At 40.6% G+C, this 25,766-nt stretch overlaps 1 long non-coding RNA gene across 2 annotated transcripts in view; it reads left to right on the forward strand.

Moving 5' to 3' along the window:
- LOC105378866 (uncharacterized) overlaps positions 1-7,612 on the forward strand; it is a 41,877-nt gene extending 34,265 nt beyond the window's left edge. The window contains exons 2-3 of one of the 2 annotated variants that reach the window (XR_947617.2): positions 4,345-4,690; positions 7,289-7,612. This is a non-coding gene — a long non-coding RNA (uncharacterized LOC105378866). The remainder of the gene's footprint in view (positions 1-4,344; positions 4,691-7,288) is intronic. The other variant, XR_947618.2, reaches the window with a different exon arrangement.
- Positions 7,613-25,766: the final 18,154 nt, after the last annotated feature.

The raw sequence follows: 25,766 nt of genomic DNA on the forward strand, positions 1-25,766 counted from the left end.
AACGCTTTGATGTTTAACCTAAGAGTGAAATAGGGAATTCTGGGTTTAGGGGTACAGTTCATAAATACATATGTACAAGAATGAACTCTGTAACATTGATTTTAATAAAGAGTTACTCTTGGCCAGGCACTGTGGCTCACGCCTGTAATCCCAGCACTTTGAGAGGCCCAGGTGGGTGGATCACGAGGCCAAGAGATCAAGACTATCTTGGCCAACATGGGGAAACCTCGTCTCTCTGAAAAATACAAAAATTAGCTGGGCGTGGTGGCGCATGCCTGTAATCCCAGCTACTTGGGGGGCTGAGGCACGAGAAGCACTTGAACCCAGGAGACAGAGGTTGCAGTGAGCCAAGATTGTGCCACTGCACTCCAGCTTGGTGACAGAACAAGACTCTGTCTTGAAAAAAAAAAAAAGTGACTCTTAACAACTCAAATATTAATTAAATATAGGTTAGTTAAACTATTATTCAGACTTATAGCAAAATACTATACAGTTAAAAAAATTAAAGGTGAATTTACATGTATGGACATAAAAAGACAATCCAAATCTATCAATAAGTGACAACCATATTGCAGCACAGTTCTATGTCTATGTTCCTGTATCAGTATACATAGAGAAGAAAGCTAGAAGCTCATGCATCATACTCTTCTTAGTAGTTCTCCCTGGGGATGGGACTTTCATTTTCTATATATTTTCTGTTATATGCAAATTGGTTGCAACTTTATATTACCATTAGAATCATTAAAAAATTTAAAGGGAAAACAATATGTAAGTAAGCTGCCCATTGACATGTACACTCCTCTCTCAATGCCTTTTTTTTGTTGTTGTTGTTGAGACAGAGTCTTGCTCCATTGCCCAGGCTAGAGTGCAGTGGCGCAATCTTGGTTCACTGCAACCTCTGCCTCCTGGGTTTAAGCAATTCACCTGCCTCTACCTCCCAAGTAGCTGGGACTACAGGAGCCCACCACCATGCCCAGCTAATTTTTGTATTTTTAGTAGAGATTAGGTTTCACCATGTTGGCCAGGCTGGTCTCAGACATCCTGACCTCAAGCGATCCACCCACCTAGGCCTCCCAAAGTGCTGGGATTACAGGCATGAGCCACCGCACCTGGCCTCTCAATGTCTTAAGTTAAGCATTAGGGCACAGTTTGGCAGGATGCCATTTGTCTTATTTCAGAGAACTAATTATGTTTTTAATTTTTATAAGGTGTCTAACACATGTATCACTCAGAGTAATATGATGATGATGATGATGATGATGACTGACAGGAATGAACACATTCTATCAAAGAGGAGTCAGGATAGGAAACTTTGATTGATAAAATCTGGTTTATGTTTAATCTTCAGCAGTACCAAATATTTCATGACTCATAACTCCAACTAACACAATTTTTTATTTATTAATGAATACAAAAAAAGGGGTAGAGGAGCTGTTAGAAACTTCTATGATGATGTGAAATAAGATAATACTTAACCACTTCACATAGTGTTTCAAGGTCAATTAATATCTGTTGCCTTATTGTAGGCATTATCCTAGGCACTTTAAATCATAAGGTTTTGTGTTTTTAATGTATTCCACAAATGGAAAAGAATAGATTGCATTCAGAAAAGTCCAACCTGGGCCAGGCATGGTGGCTGACACCTATAATCCCAGCACTTTCAGAGGCCAAGGCAGACAGATAGTTTGAACCCAGGAGTCAACACCAGCCTGGACAACACGGGGAGACCCTGTCTCTACAGAAAAATATTTAAAGAATTAGCAGGGCATGGTGGCATGCTCCTGTAGTCCCACCTACTCAGGAGGCTGAGGTAGGAGGATCACCTGAGCCTGGGGACATTGAGATTGCAGTGAGCCGTGATACTGAAGCAGCATCATTGTTTGGGGTAAATACCCGGGGTTTGTTTTCTTGTGCCAAGAAGATCAGGGACACTAGAAATATATGGGTGGGTTAAGAAGCAAAAAGTTTAATAGGCAGAAGAAAGGAGAGAGGAAAGCAGCTCTCTCTCTCTCTCTCTTGCGACAGAGAGGCTTCCAAAAGGAGAAAGTCCGTCTGTGGTGGACCATAGATTTTATAGGCAGGCTTGAGGAGGTGGTGTCTGATTTACGTAGGGCCCACAGATAGGTTCAACCAGCTGTGATGTTTACGTAGCGCATGGGGAAGGCTGCCCACCCCACCCTAATCTTATTATGCAAATGGACTTTCCACTTGGCCAGTGCAGTCTTCTCTGCTCCTTACTGTACACGTGGCTGTCAAGGAGAAGAGAAGAAGGAGCTGCCATTTTGAACATGTCTAGTCCCAGGTAGCTTATTCCTACTGGCACAGCTGCCGGCATTCGCCTGCACAAGCTTCCAGCTTGCTTGTCTATGTCTGCAGCTCGATTTTACAGTCTGCTCTTTGTTAGAAAAGAAAATGATTTGGGGGCTGCTTTTCATTAAAAGGAAAACCTTACCGAGGACTTCCGTACCCTCACTATCTGCCTAAGTAATTTCTTCTTAACAACTCCTGTATCAGCGCCACTGCAACTCCAGCTTGGACAACAGGCTGGAGACCCTGTCTCCAAAAATGAAAAAACAAAACAAGAGTCCAATATGGAAGTCAGTCAGGGGGCCTGAATTCTTAGACTCAAATGTGCTTCTGACAGACACGCTGGGTGAGTCTGGTCAACCCACTTACCCTCTCTGGGTTTCAATTTTCTCATTAGACTGCCTTTTGTCTACATTTTCTTCCACTGAGTCTATTTGACACCACAGGTAATAAGTGTGAACTGCCTGTATTGGTTTTTGTTGTTGTTGTTGTTGTTTTGAGACGGAGTCTCGCTCTGCCGCCCAGGCTGGAGTGCAGTCGTGCGATCTCGGCTCGCTGCAAGCTCTGCCTCCCGGGTTCACGCCATTCTCCTGCTTCAGCCTCCCGAGTAGCTGGGATTATAGGCACCCGCCATCACGCCCGGCTAATTTTTTTGTAATTTTAGTAGAGACGGGGTTTCACTAGTTAGCCAGGATGGTCTCGATCTCCTGACCTCGTGATCCGCCCTCCTCGGCCTCCCAAAGTGCTGGGATTACAGGCGTGAGCCACCGTGCCGGGCCAACTGCCTGTATTGTTGACTGCTGTACCTCCAGCAACTAGAATGAGGTTTAGTACATAGAAGATGTTTAATTCTGTTGAAAGGGCAAATTCCTTAGTGGTGTGCTCTGAGGTTTTATATGTGTGGCTTTTGCTTTTAGCATAACTTTGAGTAACAGTGGAGAGGAGAAAATAAAGATCAGGATCAGTTTCTTGGACAAGAGAACGTCCTTGCCTAAAAACCAAAACCAAACAGTTCAAAAAAAAAAAAACTATTGCAAAGCCCTCACTGGGTCTTGTTCTGCTTCAGAAATCTTGCAAGCCCTGCAGTGCGCCTGCTGGGAAGGTTATACAAAGCAGAGCCCACTCACAGAGGCCCAGAGTCGAATCATTGGCCCCCTCCCCCTTTGCATTCCTTGCCTTCCTCTTTTACTGTCGCTGAAACCTGCCCTATAAATCAGATTTAATTATCTATAAAATTTGGTGTAGAAAAGGATTTACTCATTAAAAATGTTCATCAACTTGCTACCCACGTTCCAGACTAATAGAAGCGGAAAAGGAACACCATGGAAACACCAGACGGGCTGGAGAGATAAGCAAGCTTTGAAATACCTGAACCTCGGTTAAATAGCAAGTTCCAGTTTCTGTATTTGCCTTCTAAAATATCATGTCAGGAATAAGTAAATGTCACCAAATAATCAACCTGTTTCGCTATCTTTTCTTTTTTGGTTACTTGCTTCAACAGGTTTTTAAAAATGGGTTTTCTTAGTTTACCTCCTTTGCCTGTGTGATACCCAAGATATTCTCCCCAGTGGTGTGTGTGTTTGCAAAATGTCATAATCCTCTCTACAGCCAAACACAACGGCTCGCATTTAGTCACAGAGTGAGGAGCAGTTAATTAATGAGAGCCAAGGGAGGCAGTGAGGAAACATTGGAGAAAAACGTAGCCAGAGGAAGATCAGAGGGGAAATGTCTGAAGTCAGTCCAAGATAAATCTTCAGTCCTTAGGGAAAGCCCTGGGGTAGATGATGTGGGCTGCCAACCAAGTTGGATTTTGTGTGTGTATGTGTGTGTGTGTGTGTGTGTGTAGCAGGGGGAGCAGTTGTTTGTTCTTTTTGTTTGTTTGTTAAAGTGTGGAAGCAGGGACTGTAGGAACTTGGGGAGAAAGAATGTTAGAGTAGCTTCAACAAGGCAAAGCTTCTATCTAAAATTGCACATTAATTTCCATGAAACTCTTCATTCGTGAAAAGGCAAAGATCTAAAACTTTTTCTCCTTTCTAGCACATGACAGGATTTTTGTCGTGACTTTCCTAAATTCTCACTGTGCCAAGCAAGCAAGAAAGTGCCCACAGGAGTGGGAGGGAAAAGACACATGGGATGGCAGCAAGGAAACCTGCCTAGAGGAGCCAGCCATCCCGTCTGTCCCCTCACTTCCTTCCAGAGAGAACGTCTTTCCTTGACAGCGCCTGCCTCCTGTCATTTCATCCCAACACTTTGCCCAGCCCGGGAAATCTGGATTTTCTTTTTAAAGAAAGATGTCTAGAGAGAAAAATAGAAAATGAACAGCCAATAGAAAGTGCAACAGAGCTTGTTGATTTGGTTCTGTCAGATGCCCCAAGTGTTCGTGGTAAGGCCCATTTTTTATTTCTAGAGACTTGTTTCATTTCACTTGCTGTATTCTTCTTTCTTCTGTGTGCCTTACTGTATATGTTCTTTTGTTGTTTGTCCCTAGGACCTCTTTCTGAGCCTTCCATTCGTGATTTATCTAATCTCATGAATTCACCAAAACTGACCCAAATTAGGGGTTGTGCATGTTTTAACTAAGTTTGGGGAAAACAGGTTGCTCCAATTGCTATCCAGTCATTAATAGGATGGGTTCTTGTTCTCAGCTCACATAAGATCTTTGAAGACTCATGCTCTTAGCTGGGCGCAGTGGCTCACTACTATAATCCCAGCACTTTGGGAGGCTGAGGCGGGTGGATCACTTGAGGTCAGGAGTTCGAGACCAGCCTGGCCAACATGGTGAAATCTCATCTCTACTAAAAATACAAAAAAAAAATTAGCCAGGCATGGCAGTACATGCTTGTAATCCCAGCTACTCGGGAGGTTGAGGCACGAGAATCACTTGAACTCAGGAGGCAGAGGTTGCAATGAGCCAGTGAGCCAAGATCACACTACTGCACTCCAGCCTGGGCAACAGAGTGAGACTCAAGAAAGCCAAAAAAAAAAAAAAAAAAGACACATTCTTGACCATACAACTGTAAGATTTCACAGATACACCACCCAGACTGATGGTCTGACTGAGTAAGGAGGCTTGGTCTTGGCCCAGTGTTTGCCCCAGGAGACTGTGGGGTTAAAAAAAAATAAATTATATGATAGGTTGTGCTTTGTGATATTCCCCCTGAGCCATTGTTTTGTTAATACACAGCAACTATTTACATATATGACTCACCTAGACTGAGCAGCTCATAGACAGGCATCTTGTCTTATTCACAAACTCTAAGACAGTGCCTAGCCTGTAGAGGGATTTCAATAATTTTAAATGAACGAATAAACAAATAGCCTTTTCAATGTTAGAGCTACAGAACCATCTGATTCAAACACAAAAGCAAAAATTTTTAAACCTGTAGCAGTTTGACCTTTTGAGTTTACCCTTTTACTAAGACTATAAGACACCATGAGCGATGGCCCTGGTATTTTCCATGAGCACTGTGCTCTCTATCTCTTGCTGTTCCTATTTTGTCATTATCCTTGCTCCTAATCCAAATAACCATAAGAATACACCTACTCAAATCACTATGCTGTCAGTAAAGAGAATCTGTGGCTTTCATTCAAATGAATAACTACTGAATCTGAAATTCTGTGCCACTGAACTTTTACTGGCAGTGTGAGTGCATGTATTGGGAGTGGGGGTGGAGCAAAGAGTTGCAAATGAGGGAAAGGAGGAGTGTGAGAAGAAGGGAAGCAAAGAGGATGGAAACGTCTTGTTGTTCATTCAATCACGATTCATCATTTACTTACTCTAAGCCAAGTAATGGGCTATGTTCTTGCCAAATAATGGTAAACAGGACATAGTCCCTCTTCTCAAAGAACCTAAAATCTACTAGGGGCTGCTGTATATCAACCTGATAGCCTTACTGATTTCACTGCCCCAAAAATTATACTATGTAAGTGATTGTTAGGCCTTGGGCTCTTCTAGTGTGGAGGGTAACTGATAATGGATGAAACCTCCCAGAACTTGAACTATGAGCTATTAGCTTATGCATTGTTGAGCACTATGGTCACTCTTCCATGCCAATAGGCTTGCTGCCACTGCCCAAGTGAATACCAAATATACTCCACAGGAAGTGGGGGAATCTAATGAAATCTAATACGGGGTCAGCTAGAAACAGTAAGCAGCCATCCTTGTCTTTCCAAATTATGCATATACAGCAGTTGTCATGCATAGGCAGAAAGGCCTGACACCTCTGAAGAAGCCTAAAGCCCATCCTGTCCTAGAAAATACCCTCAAACCAGCCACAAAATTCTTTTTCTTTTTCCTTTTCCCTTTTTTATTTTTTAAACTAGGGATGGAGTCTCACTGTGTTACTCAGGCTGGTCTCAAACTCCTGGGATCAAGTGATGCTCCCTTGAGTCTCCTGAGTAGCTGGATCTAAAAGCGAGTGCCACCATGCCCTGCCAACTACAAAATTCTTAATGACCCCCCGAGAAAGCCATTTTCGCCAGATTAAGTCATCAGATGCTTGGAAATTAAAAAAAAAAAATCCATGATCAAATCTTACTCATTATCAGGAATTAATGTATTTAATTAATCCATTACCCTCTCCCCTCTCTCCTCTTAACCCCTGCCTTTATCCCCACCCATTCCCACCTCTGTCTCTGCTCCAGTAGCTGTAAATCCAAGACTGGGAAGTGGAGTGGGATGGCAGTGATTAATCCCTTATTGGGGAAGAACATCTGTTTTGTTCAGAAGGCTTACAGGTATCTCAGAGGGGAGCCTTGCTTTGGTTGTGGGGATCTGGAAAGAAAACATAAAGAAAGGAAAAGAAATACTGAAAACAATTTTTCCCCACATCACAATTTTGTGAGCTACCTGATCTGCAAGCAATAACTCTTCTCCTACTCAAATCTCAACTTTGGTTCAGAGCTTGCTAGAGTGTCTGCTACAGACACAAAACCCCCATTAAGATGCTTGACAATCTAACCCATGCCATTTTTCTCTCAGAAGCAGCTATACTAAGTGACATTCAAACGTTGGTAATGAGGAGACATCTGCATATACACTGGTTTTGAAACATCAAGCACTGGAGAAGTTATGAGCTGTCAATCACTTTAGCTGTCCTCCACCCTGTGTTTATTCAGAAATAATTTTCAAGGCTGCAGAAAGTGTTGTTACTAACTGATGAGCAAGTTTGAACACTGAAAATGAAGAATGATTGATGTTCTTTTAGGTAAGCTGGAAAACTCTCCATCCACTAGAGGCAGCCACAGCTCGGGATGCTGATAAAGTTCTGACACAGGGAGTGAGTGATGAGTGGTGTGTAAAAGTTCTGACACAGGGAGTGAGTGATGAGTGGTGTGTAACGTGCTGAAAACAGGAAGCTCTGACAACAATGTGAAGAGGAACCTTCTGAACACAAATTCTATGGCTCCAAATAAGCAAGTTAATAGTCCTGATATCTTGACTTGATCTACAGAAGAAACCCCACTCAGGATAACTTTTACTTTTCTGGTGGAAGAGACAATAAGAATAAAGACTCACTAAACGGTAATAAAATCCTCTTTGACTTACTAATTGGTTGGTAATTTTGAAATTTTCTAATCTGAATGTTTAACTCCAAATAGTTTTCATCCTGTCATATGTTACAGTATTAACAGTTATAGAAAAAGAACAGGAATTATTAGAAACATTAAAACTATTCAAATCTAGGAAATGTGGATCTTAGGATTTGTGTCAGGAAACCAACAACCTTAGGATGTGCCCCACAGTTGGCTTTCCTGAACCGTGATCCCAGAATGCAAGAAGTCAACCCAATACAAATCCATGCTTTCTGACAATGGCAGAAAATTTTTTGGCCATTGTCCATTGACTGACTCACAAGCTGTGACAATGTCCCACCATTACACTCCACCGACTCCCCCGCAAGGCTGTCACCTGTCTTTACCTGCAGCAGCTGCATATATGCACACATTTAATAACACTTAGTGGGGGCATGTTCTGTTCTAGAAACGGTGCCTGCTCCAAAGATACGGTGGTGAACAAAATAAAAATGCTCCCTGTCTCTATGGAACTCAGAGTCTAGCAGAAGACAAAGACACAATGTGAAATACACATTTCAATAAGTGCTATGAAAGATAGGTTGTACAGTGATATGAAAGGGAATAACAAAGGGATGCAAAAGAGTTATGAAAGGCCTCTCTGAGGAAGTCATGTTTAAGCTGAAAGGTGAAGGTTGCCTATAAGAAGGTCAGGCAAAAGACAGGGTGTGTGAGTGGGGAAACATTCTAGGCAGAGGTAACAGCATATGCAAGACCCCATGGAAGATTAGAAAAAGGAAACAGCACCAAGATATGACCTATTTTCCTTAGATGACTGAGGGAATTCAAATTCAATGAATACCTTCTTTATCTTAAAAGCTAAAGCCTTTACATTTATTATAAATAGGGATTTCTATAAATCCTGTCAACTCCCACTTATCCTGTATTCTCAATCCTGTATTTATTCACCAACATCTTTGAGCTGTTTTCTCTGGCCTTATCCTTATTCTTTCTAAGGTATATCTATCTTTTTTAGCAACCCCGATAATTAGATAGGATAATCTGTTGAGATATTAATTTGTGATTTGTATTTCTGATTTGTGCTATAGAAGACTTGAAGGATTAGAAGGGACTTTCCTCCTACTTCCTTCACTGGAAAGACAACCAGGCCTTTATCTTCTAAGATCTTTTTTCTATTTTCAAGCAATTAACAGTTTATTTTTGTATCAGAACATCCTGTCCCATCCCTCAAGATCTGTTGCGCAAAATGTAGGCCCATCGGGAGGAAGAAAGTTGAGGAGAGGGGTGATTTGCCTTGCTGGCAACTTATTGACATGTCTTTGCCATGCTCCTACTCAGGAAATTAGATCCCATGACCTATAAAATTCAGTCAAAACTGCAGCTAAACTCACACCCTCTGCTATATTGGACCTGAAGTCTCTGCAGCCATTCTCCTCTATTGCCACATTCATCCCCCGTACCAAGTCGTACCCCATCAATTCTGCCTGTCCCATAATTCATCTCAAGCTTATTTTCTTCTATGCTGTTTCCCTTTCCCACTTTTTAATTTCACCCTTATTTTAATCTCTCATTTTCCTGTTGTTTCATAGTGAAACCACTTTGCAAAATTATAACTGAGGAAACTATGACAGTGAAAGACATCAGACCTAACTGATTCCATCTTGCTTCTAACGTTTAAGCTGTCCTTGTTCTTTCCTGGGCATAGGCCAAACTAACTTTGGGAAGGAATTCAGTTCATGGTTTGACTCTGAAACAAATTGGAACCAGCCCTTTCCTGAAAAACCCCGTTTCTTCCTTGGAGACCAGTCTGCCTTTGCAGGACTAACAACTTAGCTACAACATTAGAAATCACAGTTTAGGGGTCATGCAGTCTCTGGTTCCAAGAGTTTGAACCTCCCGAAATTGCTCCTGGGGATAATATCGGTATTGTGAAACCTAAGATCAGTGCTTAAGACCCTGCACTGGATGGATCAGCTGACACCACCCAGAGTGGTAATCTGGCTCAACCAGTTCTGCCATCCCTCCCAAGAACAGAAAACAGCAAAAAACAAACAAACAAACAAACAAACAAAAAAAACTCACTTCGACTCCCACTGCCCCCCATGATTCCATCTCCAACCTGACCAATCAGCACTCCCCACTTCCCAAGCCCCTACCTGCCAAATTATCTTTAAAAACACTTATCATCAAATGGCTCAGGGAGAATGATTTGAGTAATAATAAAACTCTGGTCTCCCGCACAGCTGGCTCTTCCTGATTTACTCTTTCTCCATTGCAATTCCCCTGTCTTGATAAATCGGCTCTGTCTAGGCTGCGGGCAAGGTGAACCCATTGGGCGGTTACAATGGTACTTATTGCCTATACCATGCATGTAGTTATTAATTACATCCTCTTGTGTATAAAACAATTAGAGAACAATGTATGCACTTTTTCTCCTTAACTAATTTGTAGAATGCTTAATTACAGAGATGAATTCTTACACTCCCTTGAATCTCTTCCAATTCCTAGTGCAAAGCTGAATCTGTGGCAAGCGCTCAAAAATAAAGAATTTAAATCAAATAAAATCATTTGGCATCCAGTCTATGTGCAATGCCATGCTGGATGCTATGAAGATTTGTAAAGGACATATCAGCCTGCCCAACTCCTTCTCCTCTCTCCAGCCTCAGTTTACATAGACTAGTTTTCTCTTGGTAGCTTCCCAACTCTAAGCACAGATTAGATGTTCCTCCTACATGTCACTAAAGTAACCTGTACTCCCCATAATACATCACTTTACATAGTGAGACACTTCATGCAAAAGCTCATTTATTCATCTTTTCCTCCAGGCTAATCTCCACGAGAATGTAGGGCCACATTTGACTTATTCATCATTTACACCAGTGCCTGGCTGTCCCATGGTAGACACTCAGGAAATATTTGTTGAATAAATAAATGAAAAATTTACTGACCTCAAGGCATAAATGATCTAGTTATTGAAACAGAAGAAATGTTTAAATACTTATGTGATGCATATGTATACTAATTATATATGTTCATGTTTACTAATGCATCTGTATAATCATTCATCTCTAAGGCTAACTATTGCAGTTTCAACATACTTTTGGTATGGTAAGAGCTCCTCATAATGGCAGTTAGCTTGGTAATTGATAAGCTGTGTGGCTGAAAACAGTAATTATTAACACAATATTCAAATTTGTAGATTCACCCTAGGTAATAGCAGATCACAAAACTTAGCCAGGTGTTTCCCTCAGGCCCTCACACACTCACCTTTCATTATTCTTGTCTTCTTGACCATTCTTTATTCCTCATTAAGGCCACCTCACAAATGAAACTCACCCTTGAGTTAGGTAAAAACGCTCATAAGCATAATTTTCATCCCTGTGTTTCTGTGAGTCCAAAGAGTTTTGTAAAGACTGAATTAAGTGGAGAAGGTTTTATGAGCCACCATAATCTTTTCTCTACTTCTACTCCAGGCTACATTAAAATCTACATTCCAAAAGCATAAGTACTGAATGTAGTTTAAAATATTTCCTGTATAAGCAAGCCCTCTCACCATTTAACTCTAACTCTAAGACACTCCCTCATTTATGCCTGGATTATAGATGTCAACCATTGAATATTGCCTGATATTTTCTGTCTATCAAGAGTGGATTATCACTTGAAATGTATTAATTCCCTCCTTGGGGTTTCAAGGTTAGATAGAAGATTTGAGTGGCATAGCATTGTATTCATTTATTCTTTTATTGAGCAAATATTTAAGGAACTGCTACTATGTGCCAGGCACTGTACTAACAACCAAGAATTTAACAGTGGGCAAAAAAATCCCACATTTTCTTCCCAAAGTTTTTACTTTAAAGCAGAGAGACAGAAATCCATTTTCTCTTGGCCTAGGATCTTTTACACAGTTGCTTAAGTTCCTCAGTATCTGATATGGTTTGGCTGTGTCCCCACCCAAATCTTATCTTGAATTCCCACGTGTTGTGGGAGGGACCTGGTGAAAGGTAATTGAATAATGGGGGCAGGTCTTCCCATGCTCTTCACGTGATAGTGAATACGTCTCATGAGATCTAATGGTTTTTAAAACAGGAGTTTCCCTACATAAGCTCTCTCTTTGCCTGCTGCCATCCACATAAGATGTGACTTGCTCCTCCTTGCCTTTCACCATGATTGTGAGGCCTCCCCAGCCATGTGGAACTGTAAGTCCAATTAAAGCTCTTTCTTTTGTTAATTGCCTAGTCTTGGGTGTGTTTTTATCAGCAGTGTGAAAACAGGCTAGTACAGTAAATTGGTACCAGGAGTGGGGTGCAGCTGAAATGCATCTGAAAATGCAGAAGCGACTTTAGAACTGGGTAACAGGCAGAGGTTGGAACAATTTGGAGGGCTCAAAATAAGATAGCAAAATGTGGGAAAGTTTGGAACTCTCTAGAGACTTGTTGAATGGCTATGATCAAAATGCTGATGATGATATGGACAATGAAATACAGGCTGAGTTGATCTCAGTTGGAGATGAGGAACTTGTTGGGAATTGGAGCAAACGTGACTCTTGTTATGCTTTAGCAAAGAGACTGGCAGCATTTTGCCCCTGCCCTAGAGATTTGTGGAACTTTGAACTTGAGAGAGATGATTTAGGGTATCTGGCAGAAGAAATTTCTAAGCAGCAAACCATTCAAGAGGTAACTTGGGTGCTGTTAAAGGCATTCAGTTGTATAAAGGAAGCAGAGCATAGCAGTTCAGAAAATTTGCAGCCTGACAATGTGATAGAAAAGAAAAACCCACTTTCTGAGGAGAAATTCAAGCCAGCTGCATAAATTTGCATAAATAAAGGGGAGTCAAATGTTAATACCGAAGACAATGGGGAAAATGTCTCCAGGACATGTCAGAGGTCTTCACAGAAGCCCCTCCCATCAGAGGCCTGGAGGCCTATGAGAAAATGGTTTTGTGGGTCAGGCCCAGGGTCCCCATGCTGTGTGCAGCCTAGGGACTTTGTGCCCTGCATCTCAGCTGCTCCAGCTGTGGCTGAAAGGAGCCAGTGTAGAGTTCAGGCCATGGTTTCAGAGGGTGTAAGCCCCAAACCTTGGCAGTTTCCACATGGTGTTGACCCTGTGAGTACATAAAATTCAAGAATTGGGGTTTGCATTGTGGAAGTCAGTGTGGCGATTCCTCAGGGATCTAGAACTGGAAATACCATTTGACCCAGCCATCCCATTACTGGGTATATACCCAAAGGACTATAAATCATGCTGCTATAAAGACACATGCACATGTATGTTTATTGCGGCATTATTCACAATAGCAAAGACTTGGAACCAACCCAAATGTCCAACAATAATAGACTGGATTAAGAAAATGTGGCACATATACACCATGGAATACTATGCAGCCATAAAAAATGATGAGTTCATGTCCTTTGTAGGGACATGGATGAAATTGGAAAACATCATTCTCAGTAAACTATCGCAAGAACAAAAAACCAAACACCGCATATTTTCACTCATAGGTGGGAATTGAACAATGAGATCACATGGACACAGGAAGGGGAACATCACACTCTGGGGACTGTTGTAGGGTGGGGTGAGGGGGGAGGGATAGCATTGGGAGATATACCTAATGGTAAATGACGAGTTAGTGGGTGCAGTGCACCAGCATGGCACATGTATACATATGTAACTAACCTGCACAATGTGCACATGTACCCTAAAACTTAAAGTATAATAATAAAAAAAAAAAAGAATTGGGGTTTGGGAACCTCTGCCTGGATTTCAGAAGATGTATGGAAATGCCTGGATTCCCAGGGAGAAGTTTGCTGAAGGGGTGGGGCACTCATGGATAACCTCTGCTAGGGAAGTACAGAAGGCAAATGTGGGGTTGAAGCTCCCACACAAAGTCCCCACTGGGGTGATCCCTTGTGGAGCTGTGAGAAGAGGACCATCATCCTCCAGACCCCAGAATGGTATATCCACCAAAAGCTTGCACCGTGCACCTGGAAAAGTTGCAGATGCTCAACACCAGCCTGTGAAACCAGCTAGGAGGGAGGCTGTACCCTGCAAAGCCACAGGGGTGGAGCTGCCTAAGACCATGGGAACCCACCTCTTGCATCAGCATGATCTGGATATGAGACATGGAGTCAAAGGAGATCATTTTGAGGCTTTAAGATTTGACTGCCCTGCTGGATTTTGGACTTGCATGGGGCCTGTAGACCCTTTGTTTTGGCCAATTTCTCCCATTTGGAATGGCTGTATTTACCCAATGCCTGTATCCCCATTGTACCTAGGAAGTAACTAACCTGCTTTTGATTTTACAGGCTCATAGGCAGAAGGGAATTTCCTTGTCTCAGATGAGACTTTGGACTGTGGACTTTTGAGTTAATGCTGAAATGAGTTAAGACTTTGGGGTACTGTTGGGAAGGCATGATTGTGTTTTGAAATATAAGGATGTGAGATTTGGGAAGGGCAACGGGTGGAATGATATGGTTTGGCTGTGAACCCACCCACACCTCATCTCGAACTCCCACTATTGTGGGAGGGACCTGGTGTGAGGTAATTGAATCATGGGGGTAGGTATTGCCTGTGCTGTTCTCATGATAGTGAATAAGTCACATGAGATATGATGGTCTTTAAAATGGGAGTTTTCCCACACAAGTTCTCTCTTTGCCTGCCGCCATCCACGTAAGATGTGACTTGCTCCTCCTTGCCTTTCACCATGATTGTGAGGCCTCCCCAGCCATGTGGAACTGTAAGTCTAATTAAACCTCTTCCTTTTGTAAATTGCCCAGTCTCGGATACGTTTTTTTCAGCAGCATGAAAACAGATGAATACAATATCTAAATAATTATGAATGTGAATGTGAGGCTTCAGGTACCAAATGAAATGTTATCATTATTTCTGAATTTCTCTAGCTTACTTTCTGTATCATTAGTTTGGAATATCTTTCACACACTGTTAGTCATAATTTCTATATCTGTTTTATTTATCTGAAGAGATTATAAACTCCTGGAGGACAGCAGCCTCATTGTGTCATGAAAAGCCTTTCAGGCAAGAGGAAAATGCTTCTTATTTTGAAGTTTTTATTTAGGACTTCTTTTCAGGAGCCATTCTGAAGATGCCTACTGCAACTGTAATACATCAAGAGGGGTTCATTCTGATTGAATGAATTATTTTTTATGAACTATAAAAATAAAAATGGGGAGGCTTATTTCCAACTGATCTTATTAAATTCCATTCTCAGACTTTCAAAATGTTTCAACATTAAATGGAAAAGATCTATACATTTTGGTGAGTATCAATGAAGAATCATCTAAAAGAAAATATAAAATAAGGAGTACTCATAGTCCAGTGGAAAGACTTCAGGATCATGATAGGGGAAATGTGTAAGCCGGAGATCAGACCCCAGAGATTTTATTTGTTCATTCAGCAAGATGGTCTGCTTGGACCAGACTTCAGGGAAGATCAAGATGAGGTCTCTGCCCTCGCACAACTAACAGTTTAGTGAGTTGCCAATATAGCAACGCTACCTCAACGGATGCACACGCCATGGCAGTAATGACACAGAGCAAGTGCTCTAGACCTTCAACACCTGGGACATTTCATATCCAACCTATTGAAGAAGGGGTGGTTTTTAACAACTACATCATAGAGAATATTCCAAGCCATTCCTTGATTGGGAAACAAGTGCTCTCAGCTGTAAAGAAGGATGAATTAATTATTTATGGTTAAAACTAGTCCATCCAAAAGGTCAGTTTTACTGATTGTTCTCTCTTTTGTTGAGGAAGAATTGTTAAAATATTATTGTGACATACAAATATTTTAAACTATGGTTTTTAAACTGTGCTCCTAGGATCCCTAAATTTTTCAGATGTGCCTCCGGGGACCCTGTGTGGTAGCAGGTTAGGGTTACGAAGAGGTCTACCCTAGTCTTGCCACCCCTTCTTCAACTTAAGAAGCTCCATTTAATGTTTTAGGATTATGGGGTGGGGGGGGCTTAATTTTACAGTTTAATATGAAATGGGTTTTCTTTGGTGGTGGGGGGACTCTGCAGCTTTTTTACAGTGTATAAACTAGTGGTTTAAAAAATGGAAAAGTCAGATATAAGCACGTGTTTTACCTATTTCTATTTGAGAAGCATATTGAATTTCGATGACGTACAGCACAGGATGCACGGGGAAGTTTTCTGTTTTTTGTTTTTTTGGCCTTCATTTACGCAAGTTAGTGTCATGAAGATTACTTCTCTAGTAGGTCAGGGTGCTAAATGATACTGTGGAATAAACATTTAGGAAATGCAAAGCTACTTGTCAAAGTAACTTAATATCATTACTTAGTTTTCTCCAGGAAGATCCAATGGAACTGGACATCACTGTCAAATACCATTTCCTAGCACTGGCAGTAGAGCCCATATTGAAGTAAAACATATACCAATTTTGACAGGAAGCCTACATATATAGAGTGTTTATGTAAGATAAAGATGTGTTCATTTCCAAAGGTAGTTTAAAATTCAACCAAACTAAAATACCATATGATATGGTTTGGATCTGTGTCCCCACCCAAATCTCATCTTGAATTGTACCCCCATAATTCCCACGTGTTGTGGGAGGGACCCGGTGGAAGATAATTTGAATCATGGGGGTGGTTTCCCCATACTGTTCTCATGATAGTGAGTAAGTCTCATCAGATCTGATGGTTTTATCAGGGGTTTCCGCTTTTGCATCTTTCTCATTTTCTCTTGCCACAGTCACGTTAGAAGTGCCTCTCACCTCCCGCCATGATTCCAAGGCCTCCCCAACCATGTGGAACTGTAAGTCCAATTAAACCTCTTTTTCTTCCCAGTCTCAGGTATGTCTTTTTCAGCAGCATGAAAATGGAATAATACACAGTACTATTCATTATTTCAATTCTTTTAAAATTATTACTATTTTATTTTTTTAATTGGCAGATAAAATTTTATGTATTCATTCACACACAACATGATGTTTTGAAGTATACATACATTGTGGATTAATTAATTTTAGCTAATCAACTTATGGATTACCTCACATAGTTATGATTTTTGTGGTAAGAACAGTTAGCATCCACTCTCAAATATATCAGACACAGAAAGTTAAATACTGCATGCTGTCACTTATAAGTGGAAACAATAGTGTGTAAACATGGACATAGAAAGTAGAATAATAGACACTGGAGATTCAGAAAGGTGGGAAGGTGGGACGGGGGTGAGGAATGAGAAGTTACATAATGGATACAATGTTCACTATTTTTCTGTGTGTCCAATCTTTTCACTTCCTGGGTCACACTGGAGGAAGAGGAAGCATTGTCTTGGGCCCCACATAAAATACACTAACACTAACAATAGCCGATGAGCTAAAAAAAAAAAAAAAAATCTCCAAAAAAGAATTTCATAATGTTGTTGACGAACTTCTGCTGGCCCACATTCAAAACCATCCTGGGCCACATGTAGCCTGCGGGCTGAGGGTTGGACAAGCTCAATTTAGATGATGTTTACACCAAAAGCCCAGACTTCATCATTATGCACTATATCCATGTAACAAACTGCACTTATACCCCTGAAAGCTATAAAAATAAGAAATAAAATTTTAAAATCCACTCTCTTAGCATTTTTCAAAAATACAATATATCGCTCTTAACTATAGTCACCATGTCGTACATTATTTAAATTCTCTCATGCATTTTTACTCCCTTCCAGTGCCCACTGTGAACTATTGCTACAGGGGAATTTAGATGTGTAATTGCCATTAACAATATGACAGAAATAGCAACTGTGTAACTAATTCCCCACATTGTATGTATCTTCTGCTCACACTACATAGAACATTTTTCCTCATGATTCTGAAAGTAAGTAAGCAGCACACCACCCCCTTGAAAAGTGGAGCAAATTCAGAAATTCTTGTGATTGTGTTGGGTCAAGTCTTGGTCATTATGTGTGCTGTGTGCCGTGTGCTGCGTGCTGTGTGCTGGAGTCATTATCTTTACGTACACGCAGGATACTAATGCTGACATCTAATTATCGTTATAAAACTGATTAACTCTCAATAAGGTCAGCATAAAGCAGAGAAATACATCTTTATGCAATCTATTAGGTCATTTGTTTAATAAATTAAAATACTTAAGGAAGGAAAATCAGTCTGGCATTTTCTTCAGTCAATTCTCTTTGGCAGATGACTGAATTGCAGAGAAATTCAAAGAGTGGAGGCAACACTACATTAAAAGCTCCATAATCAAAACAGAGAGCATAAAAACACTTGAGCATTGTCTAATGGACAATTTATCATCCAAACAGATGCATTCATTAAGGGAAAAATTACCTTCAAATATCAGTAAAATAAATTGGGCCTATTCTGATTTCTTGTTTTTGCAGCAAGAGTGTTCCAAACTATGGAAACAAGTATATAAAAGACGCTTCAGTGCAGGAGCAGGACATTTTGGGCATTTAAGTTTATTGTGCAAAGCTGTTTGAACTGCTTGAAGATGGTAAATCAAGCAAATATGGAACATTCCAACTGATAATGTCTTTCTGGGCCAATTATTTCTCTTCTACATTTCAAAGACAGGGACTGTTTTGTTATTTCATGGCTATTGTTATTATTAATGCTACCACTACTACTAATAAGAAATCATTTTCTGCTTTGCCTTAGCAACATGGACTCCAATCACTCACCATAGGCTCCACTTCTGTGGCAGGAAAACATCTCTCAAGCACAGAGCCAAAAGATTGGCCCCTCACGCTGTCTCTCCTTATGTGAATTCTTGGTGCTAAGCTCACAGTCAGATGGCAGAGGGAATCACTCTGTACAGTTGGTGGCCTGAGTCTTGTGCTCCATCAATTTGCATTACTGCTCAGAAATTAACACCAAGCAGCAGCGCTGTCATTGCCTTAAGACCATAATCCAGCCACAAATGGAATAAAAAACTTTCATAAATAAACAGGCTAAGCAGTAGCTCACTGAGTTGTGGCCCTCAGGCATGTGCAAAGCTCATCTTTTCCCTGTGGTTGAACTTACAGACAGCTGCTCTAAACTTACTGGCACTGACGGTAGTAGTGACAATAATGGCTGTTGTTTACAGAGCATCTACTATGTGCCAAGCACTGTTCTTGTGTTGTCTCTAATCCTCAAAACAAATCTGCCTATGGATGTTATTATGATTTTACAGATGAGAAACTGAGGTTCAAACTCAGATGCCTGAAGTCTTTCCACTACATACACTGCTTCTCTGCTTATCGAGCCCCAACCGTAAACATTTTCTACATGTTGATTAATAGGCTACTGAACATTTGGGTCATTTTATTTTGCACATGATAAAATGGAGGCAGTAATAGGTAAAGTGTACACCATCAGTTTGAAGCTGACCAATTAAAGTTTGGATAACCCACATGAAGTTTTGGTACATTGAGCCAGTCTGCTTCTATGGAGAGGGAGGCGTTGTAGTGACAACAGCAAGGACTTTAATGTTAATCTGACCTAAGGTTACATCTGATTCTGTGATCTTTGGGAAATTAGTTAATTTTTCTGATCTTTATTTTTTCATGTATGAAATAATTACAATAGCTAAAATTTATTGAGCATTTACAATGTACGAAAAACTTTTTGAAGTCTCATTATTTATAATATCTAAATTCATTTAATCTTCAAAACTTTTCTAAGTCTCTTATAATATCTAAATTCATTTAATCCAGGGTGATAATGGCTAGGAAGTGCCAGAAGAGATGTTGCAACTCATATATTCTGACTCTAAATCCCAGGGTTATGGCTGTCTTACACGTCCCAGCCTCACCAGGCTGTTTGAAAGATCGGTGGTTATATACAGTATATGAAATACATGTTCACAGGCATTATGGCTTATTGAGACTGTAGCCATATTTTAAAAACTTTTAAATGCCAATATATCACACATAATAATAATAACTACATCATGGTAGTTGTTTAGAGCAAGCTGACTTTGTAAATGAGTCCAAGAATATGCCACAAATTTGCTGTATTAAAGAAACAACAAGCTCCCTAGAAGTCTTTATTCAAAATGTATATATCAATGAGATAAAATGGTAAGTTCTTGAGAGAAGAAGCAGTGTCTTAAGTATGTTGTTAGCCTAGGAACAGTACTTTGCATTTAGAAAACACTCTGAAAATTGACTCAAGTTGTATTGCACAAGGAAAAAAATAAGCATAAGCATTGTGTTTATAGTTTAGTCATCTGGGGATGCAAAGATGAATTTGACATGACTCTTGTCCCTGGGGAATCCATGATCCAGTAATAGTAAAAATATAGATAAGGAAGTAAAATACAAACTTGAAGTGACATAGCTGTGATATGGAGGTCTATATAGGAAGGAGTGGCTTACTCTGCCCAGGAATGTTGAAGAAGACCTCTTCAAGGAGGAAATTTTTAAGAACTGTCATGAAAGATGATTAGAAAATATCTAAGTAGACAAAGAGGACTCTGTGCGCAACATAAATGCAGCTCAAGATGTCAAAATTTACAAATGACAATTTTAGGTTATAGATTGGACTCTGCAACCAAGTGTATACATTATTGGAGTAGAAGATGCATAATAATTAGTGGGGAGCCAGTATGAGGTTCTAAAATTGACACTAGAAAGGTAAACTGTGGTCATTTTTAAAGAGGTTTTATGACATGCTTAATATAAGGCGCTTATATTCCAACTATAGGCATCATGGATGTAGACAGGGCAGTGGGACTCATTAGAAATAATGATGAGAATGAAGTGAGAAAGGCCCAGCAAGGCTCGTGGCTGCCACTCTTCACCACTTTATATTCTCCCTCAGTGGACAAATTACTACCAGTTCAATTTCAATCAGTATTTCAAAATTTTTCATTTACTTATTTCTATTTTAATTTAATATTTATTATTTATTTTTGAAACAGGATCTCACTCTGTCACTCGCTGCAGCCTCAATCTCTCCCACTTAAGCAATCCTCAAACTTCAGCCTCCTTAGTAGCTGAGACCACAGACTTGACTAGTTTGTTGTTGTTATTGTTGTTGTTGTTGTTGCAGAAATGGGGTCTCACTATGTTGCCCAGGCTGGTGTTGAACTCCTGGGCTCAAGGGATCCTCCTGCCTCAGCTCCCAATGTGCTGGGATTACAGGTGTGAGTCACTGTGCCCAGTTTCTTATTTTAATTTTAAATTTACCAGTAACAAAAAAATCCATGAAGTAGTCAAAATAGAGCTATATGTGCTTTCTTCTACACAAACTCTCTTCTTGCTCATCATACCTTCCTATCCAGTCTCTTGGGCATAGGTGTCTTGTTGATAGGGGGATGACAGAAGACGAGATATAATATGCATTTTCATGATAACCAAGATTTGATTGGGAATGACTAGGTTAGGGTAGCATATGCAAATCGAACACCCTAATAGTCCCATGAGGAAAAGCCTAAGGACTAGTCTTATTTCTCCTACAAGCAGAATTATAGCCCCTGGTTTATGGATTTACTAGCTGTGTAATAATTGGGCACGTTTCTCACTTCTCTGGGCTTTACTTTCTATATCTGCATAATGAGGGGCTGGACTGGATGATATCTAACATATATCATGGCTCAAACATTCTCTGAGGTAGCTGTGGTCATGAAGAATTTCAAAATCTCAGTGCCTTAACACACACACAGAAGTTTCTTTCTCACACCCTGCTACATATCCCTCATGGGTAGTCTTTGGAGATTCTACTCAGCAGAGTCACTAGTACCCAAGCTAATGGCATTTAATAGTCGCACCGCCTGAAACATGTGATCTCTCATTGCTAGGGCAGAGAGAAAGAGGGCGCTGAAGGATTTTGCATAGACAACTAATTTCCACTTACAGCCTACTGTCCAGAGCTAGTCACAAAGCTCTCTTTCCTGCAAAGAGGCCAAGAAGTGCAGTTCTTCCTGTGCTCAGATGGAGAGGACAACAGGAAACGAACAAGCACTTGAATTCTCTAGTATCTGGAGCAAGCAGAAGGAATGACATCAGGGCATCTAGAACATCCTGTGCTCCCAGGCTCTCTGGTAAAGAGATTGTAGAGTGGGTGAACAATGGTAGCTAGCAAGGCACAGTGAAGAGAATTTTTCCTCCTTTCTCTACAGTCCTCTTAAGGGAAAAAAATTCAAACCATCTGAAATAATTATAGCACTAGCTCTTACTTTGAAGAGCAGCACACTGCCAGTCCGTATTTGGTTTGTTTTAGAAGGTTCATGATTTAAAACAAGCAGGTAATTTCCACTGAAGATTTTTTTTAGGTTCCTTATACCTAAAGTCCATTTCTAAACTTGAAGGGTTTATTCAGCCTAAGAGCCAAATCACATTTTAGCAACAGCTACGTTGCATAACGCGAAATGCTTTGATTTCTCCCATCTAAGTTGAAAAAGTTGTCACAAAACACCAACAGATTCAAAACAGCTCTCAAAATGACTTTTGTTAAAGGCAGATTCCTGAACTATTCATCTGTGTTAAAATGCATTTTGCCTTGAATCATATGTCATGTTGCCAGCAAAGAGTTGTTTCCATGCCAACTCGTTTGCAACACGAGGGAAAAAAATCAAAGCTACTAACATCTGGAAGATGTCAGTACTGATGTAAGCCACTTATAATGAAAAACACAGGACTGTGAGTGCCTGCCAAAGAGACCCTATATAAGGGGGTAAAATTTTATAATATAATTGCCTAACAATGTATTACTATTCCTTTTCTGGCTGTTTTCTTGATCTAAACACTATTCCAGAAAAGGCTTGCAGAAAGGAAAAATTAATATGCTTCATATGCAGTGTTTTTCTTACAAAGCTAGCACATCTTTCTGACATGAGTCTTTTAACAAGCCACTTAATTTTATGCATAGTCTTAAAAGTGGGACACAAAACAAATTGTTTCATTTTCTACACCTTTTCCAGCTATGGTCCTGCAAAGTCTCTTTTTAAATAGTCTATCAGTGAGATAAATGAGACCCGGGGTCTCAACAATGAATTGCATGACCAGCAGTTCCTACATACTTATTTCTTTTTCTATATAGTTCTGCTTTCCTTTGTCTGTGTGTGTGTTTTTGCCAGCAGGTGTGCACTTCTGTGCATCTACCTCTACAAATCGTTAAATAAAATGGATTAGTTTCTTTACGTCCTAAATGATAAATAATGTCACAGGCCAGAGTGGCTTCTCAGAAGTGCCATCCAAAGGTCAAAGAACCTAAGAACACTAAATTTTGAGATGACACCGAATACTGTTAGAACAGCTCAGATCTTTCACAAGTGGCAAGGCCTCACTGACTACACTTACTTGATAATGGAAAAGCATGGGGGTTTTGTGTCATGACTTAAAAATGGAATATAAGTTTGTAGTAAACTTTAGCAGATAGTAAGCACAGAGAGGTTCATGTGAACAGAAATCATTTGTATTCCTTCCCCAGGCTTACTCAGGCAGGACTTCAGTTTCCTCTTGTCCTCCAAATACTTCTAGTTGTCTGCAGAGCATGCCTCATTCATGCACTCAGGAAAACTCTGCTCAGCTGTACTGTCAACAGTTCTTTTTCTCTTCTCCTGCTTTGCTCACTTTCATCCCTAGCAGGTGCCATCTCCTGCCAGACACCAGATCTGCCACCCAGCATTGCTGCTCCTACCAACAGGTTAGGGTTTCGATGAGCCAAAGCTGCACAAGTGTCTATTTCAAGGTGGGGAGGAATTTCCTGGTGGATGTTTTTCTCCAATGAGATTCTACTCAGTGTTACTTCTTGTCAGAATATTTGGTGAAACAATTTTTAAATTTTTATTTTTATTTCAATAGTTTTGCCAGTTATATTAGTCTTTTTTCACACTGCTGATAAAGATATCCCCGAGACTGGGCAATTTACAAAAGAAAGAGGTTTAATGGACTCACAGTTCCACATGGCTGAGGAGGCCTCACAATCATGGCAGACAGTGAAAGTCACGTCTCACATTGCAGCAGACAAGAGAAGAGAGCTTGTGCAGGGAAATTCTCCTTTGTATAACCATCAGATCTCGTGAGACTTATTCTCTATCACGAGAACAGCATGGGAAAGACCTGTCCCCATGATTCAATTACCTCCCACCAGGTCCCTCCCACAACTTGTGGGAATTCAAGATGAGATTTGGGTGGGGCACACTCAAACCATATCAGGGGTACAGGTGGATTTTGGTTACATGGATAAGTTGTTTAGTGGTGATTTCTGAGTTTTTGGTTCACCCACCACCTGCGCAGTGTACACGGTGCCCAATATGCAGTCTTTTATCCCTCATCACCCCCATCCTTCACCCTGAGACCCCAGAGTTTATTGTATCATTCCTATGCCTTTACCTCCTCACAGCTTAGCTTCCACTTATAAGTGAGAACATAAGATATTTGGTTTTCCATTCCTGAATTACTTCACTTAGAATAATGGCCTCCAGCTCCATCCAAGTTGCTGCAAAAACCATTATTTTATTCCGTTTTATGGCTGAGTAGTATTTCATGTTGTATAAATATCACATTTTCTTTATTGTTGGTTGATGGGCATTTAGGTTAGTTCCATATTTTTGCAATTGCGAGTTATGCTGCTATAAACATGTGTGTGCAAGTGTCTTTTTCATATAATGACTTATTTTCCTTTGGGTAGGTACCCAGTAGTGAGATTGCTGGATCCAATAGTAGCTCTACTTTTAGTTCTTTAAGAAATCTCCATACTGTTTTCCATAGTGGTTGTACTAGTTTACATTCCCACCAACAGTGTAAAAGTGTCCCTTTTCACCATATCCACACCAATATCTATTATTTTTTGACTTTTTAATTATGGCCAGTTTTGCAGGAGTCGGGTATTACCTCATTGTGGTTTTAATTTGCCTTTTCCTGATAATTAGTAGTATGGTGAAACAATTTCTAAGGGGGAAAAAAAAAACCCTGCTACTTTCCATAGAACTCATATATGATTCCAGTGGAACCTGCGCCTGTGCTAATCCATGAGATAGATTCCCAGTGATAGTCACTATACTGCATCACCCTGCTGCCCTGACACTGCCGACATTTTCAGATTCCCTTTCTGAGTCAACCTACTCTTTTCTGCATTCCCTTCATTTTAAATAAATTCTTTACCAAAAATCTTAACAATCCCTCTTGTGAAAAGCTGTCTAGCAGGCCCAGCCCATCAATTCACAAAACATACCCAGATAGGTCTAAATGGCAGCTTAACTGCTAGATGGGAATCAGCTACAAAGTGCTTAGGACATCTTTTGCTTTTCAAAGGCCCAAAGTCTTTTGAGTCATTTTCAGAAAGGAATTTTCCTAGGAACAGCCTGGGATTTTTCCTTCAGGCCCTCCACCCTGTGCTCTCACCAGAAATGAAAATGGATTGTGTACATGCTTCCAGGTGTTCTCAATATTAATACTTTTTTTTTCTTGCTAGAAAGATCAGCAGTCCCTCAAGCTATTCTGTATTCTTAACATATTGACTTTCCTGATCCCTCGCTCACAGGTGAATTCTAGCCGGAGTTCTAGCTAGTTCTAGTTTCTTCCACAACTCGCAGGCTCAGCCCTGTCTTAGGCTTCGGGGTTATGGCTGCTGTTATTGTTGAATGAGAGCTAGTGGGTTATAGAGCCCTCATTCCATAACCCAAGTGACTCTGCATCATGCCATTTATTCTAAAATCACTTCTGTTCCACATCTGAAACCAAGTCTCCAGCTCGCAGCTCTACATCATATCTATGCGGCCCTTCTCCATCCCTTTTTCCTCTCAGAAATCCTCCTACTAAGTGTGTGCAGGCAGGCCATCTAGACAGACATCCACTACCTTCTCTTCACCACGCTGAGTCTGTCCCCACTGTCTGCCCCCACACCACCACCTATCCCCTCTGTTAGGTCTTGCTGAGTTCCTAACACGCCCTCTGAAACATCTGCCCCACCTGCTGCTAAGTTTTCACCGCCCCACTGCCCGTTCTCAGGG

This window comes from Homo sapiens, chromosome 1, assembly GCF_000001405.40.
Source record: "Homo sapiens chromosome 1, GRCh38.p14 Primary Assembly".
Taxonomy (NCBI): Eukaryota; Metazoa; Chordata; class Mammalia; order Primates; family Hominidae; genus Homo; species Homo sapiens.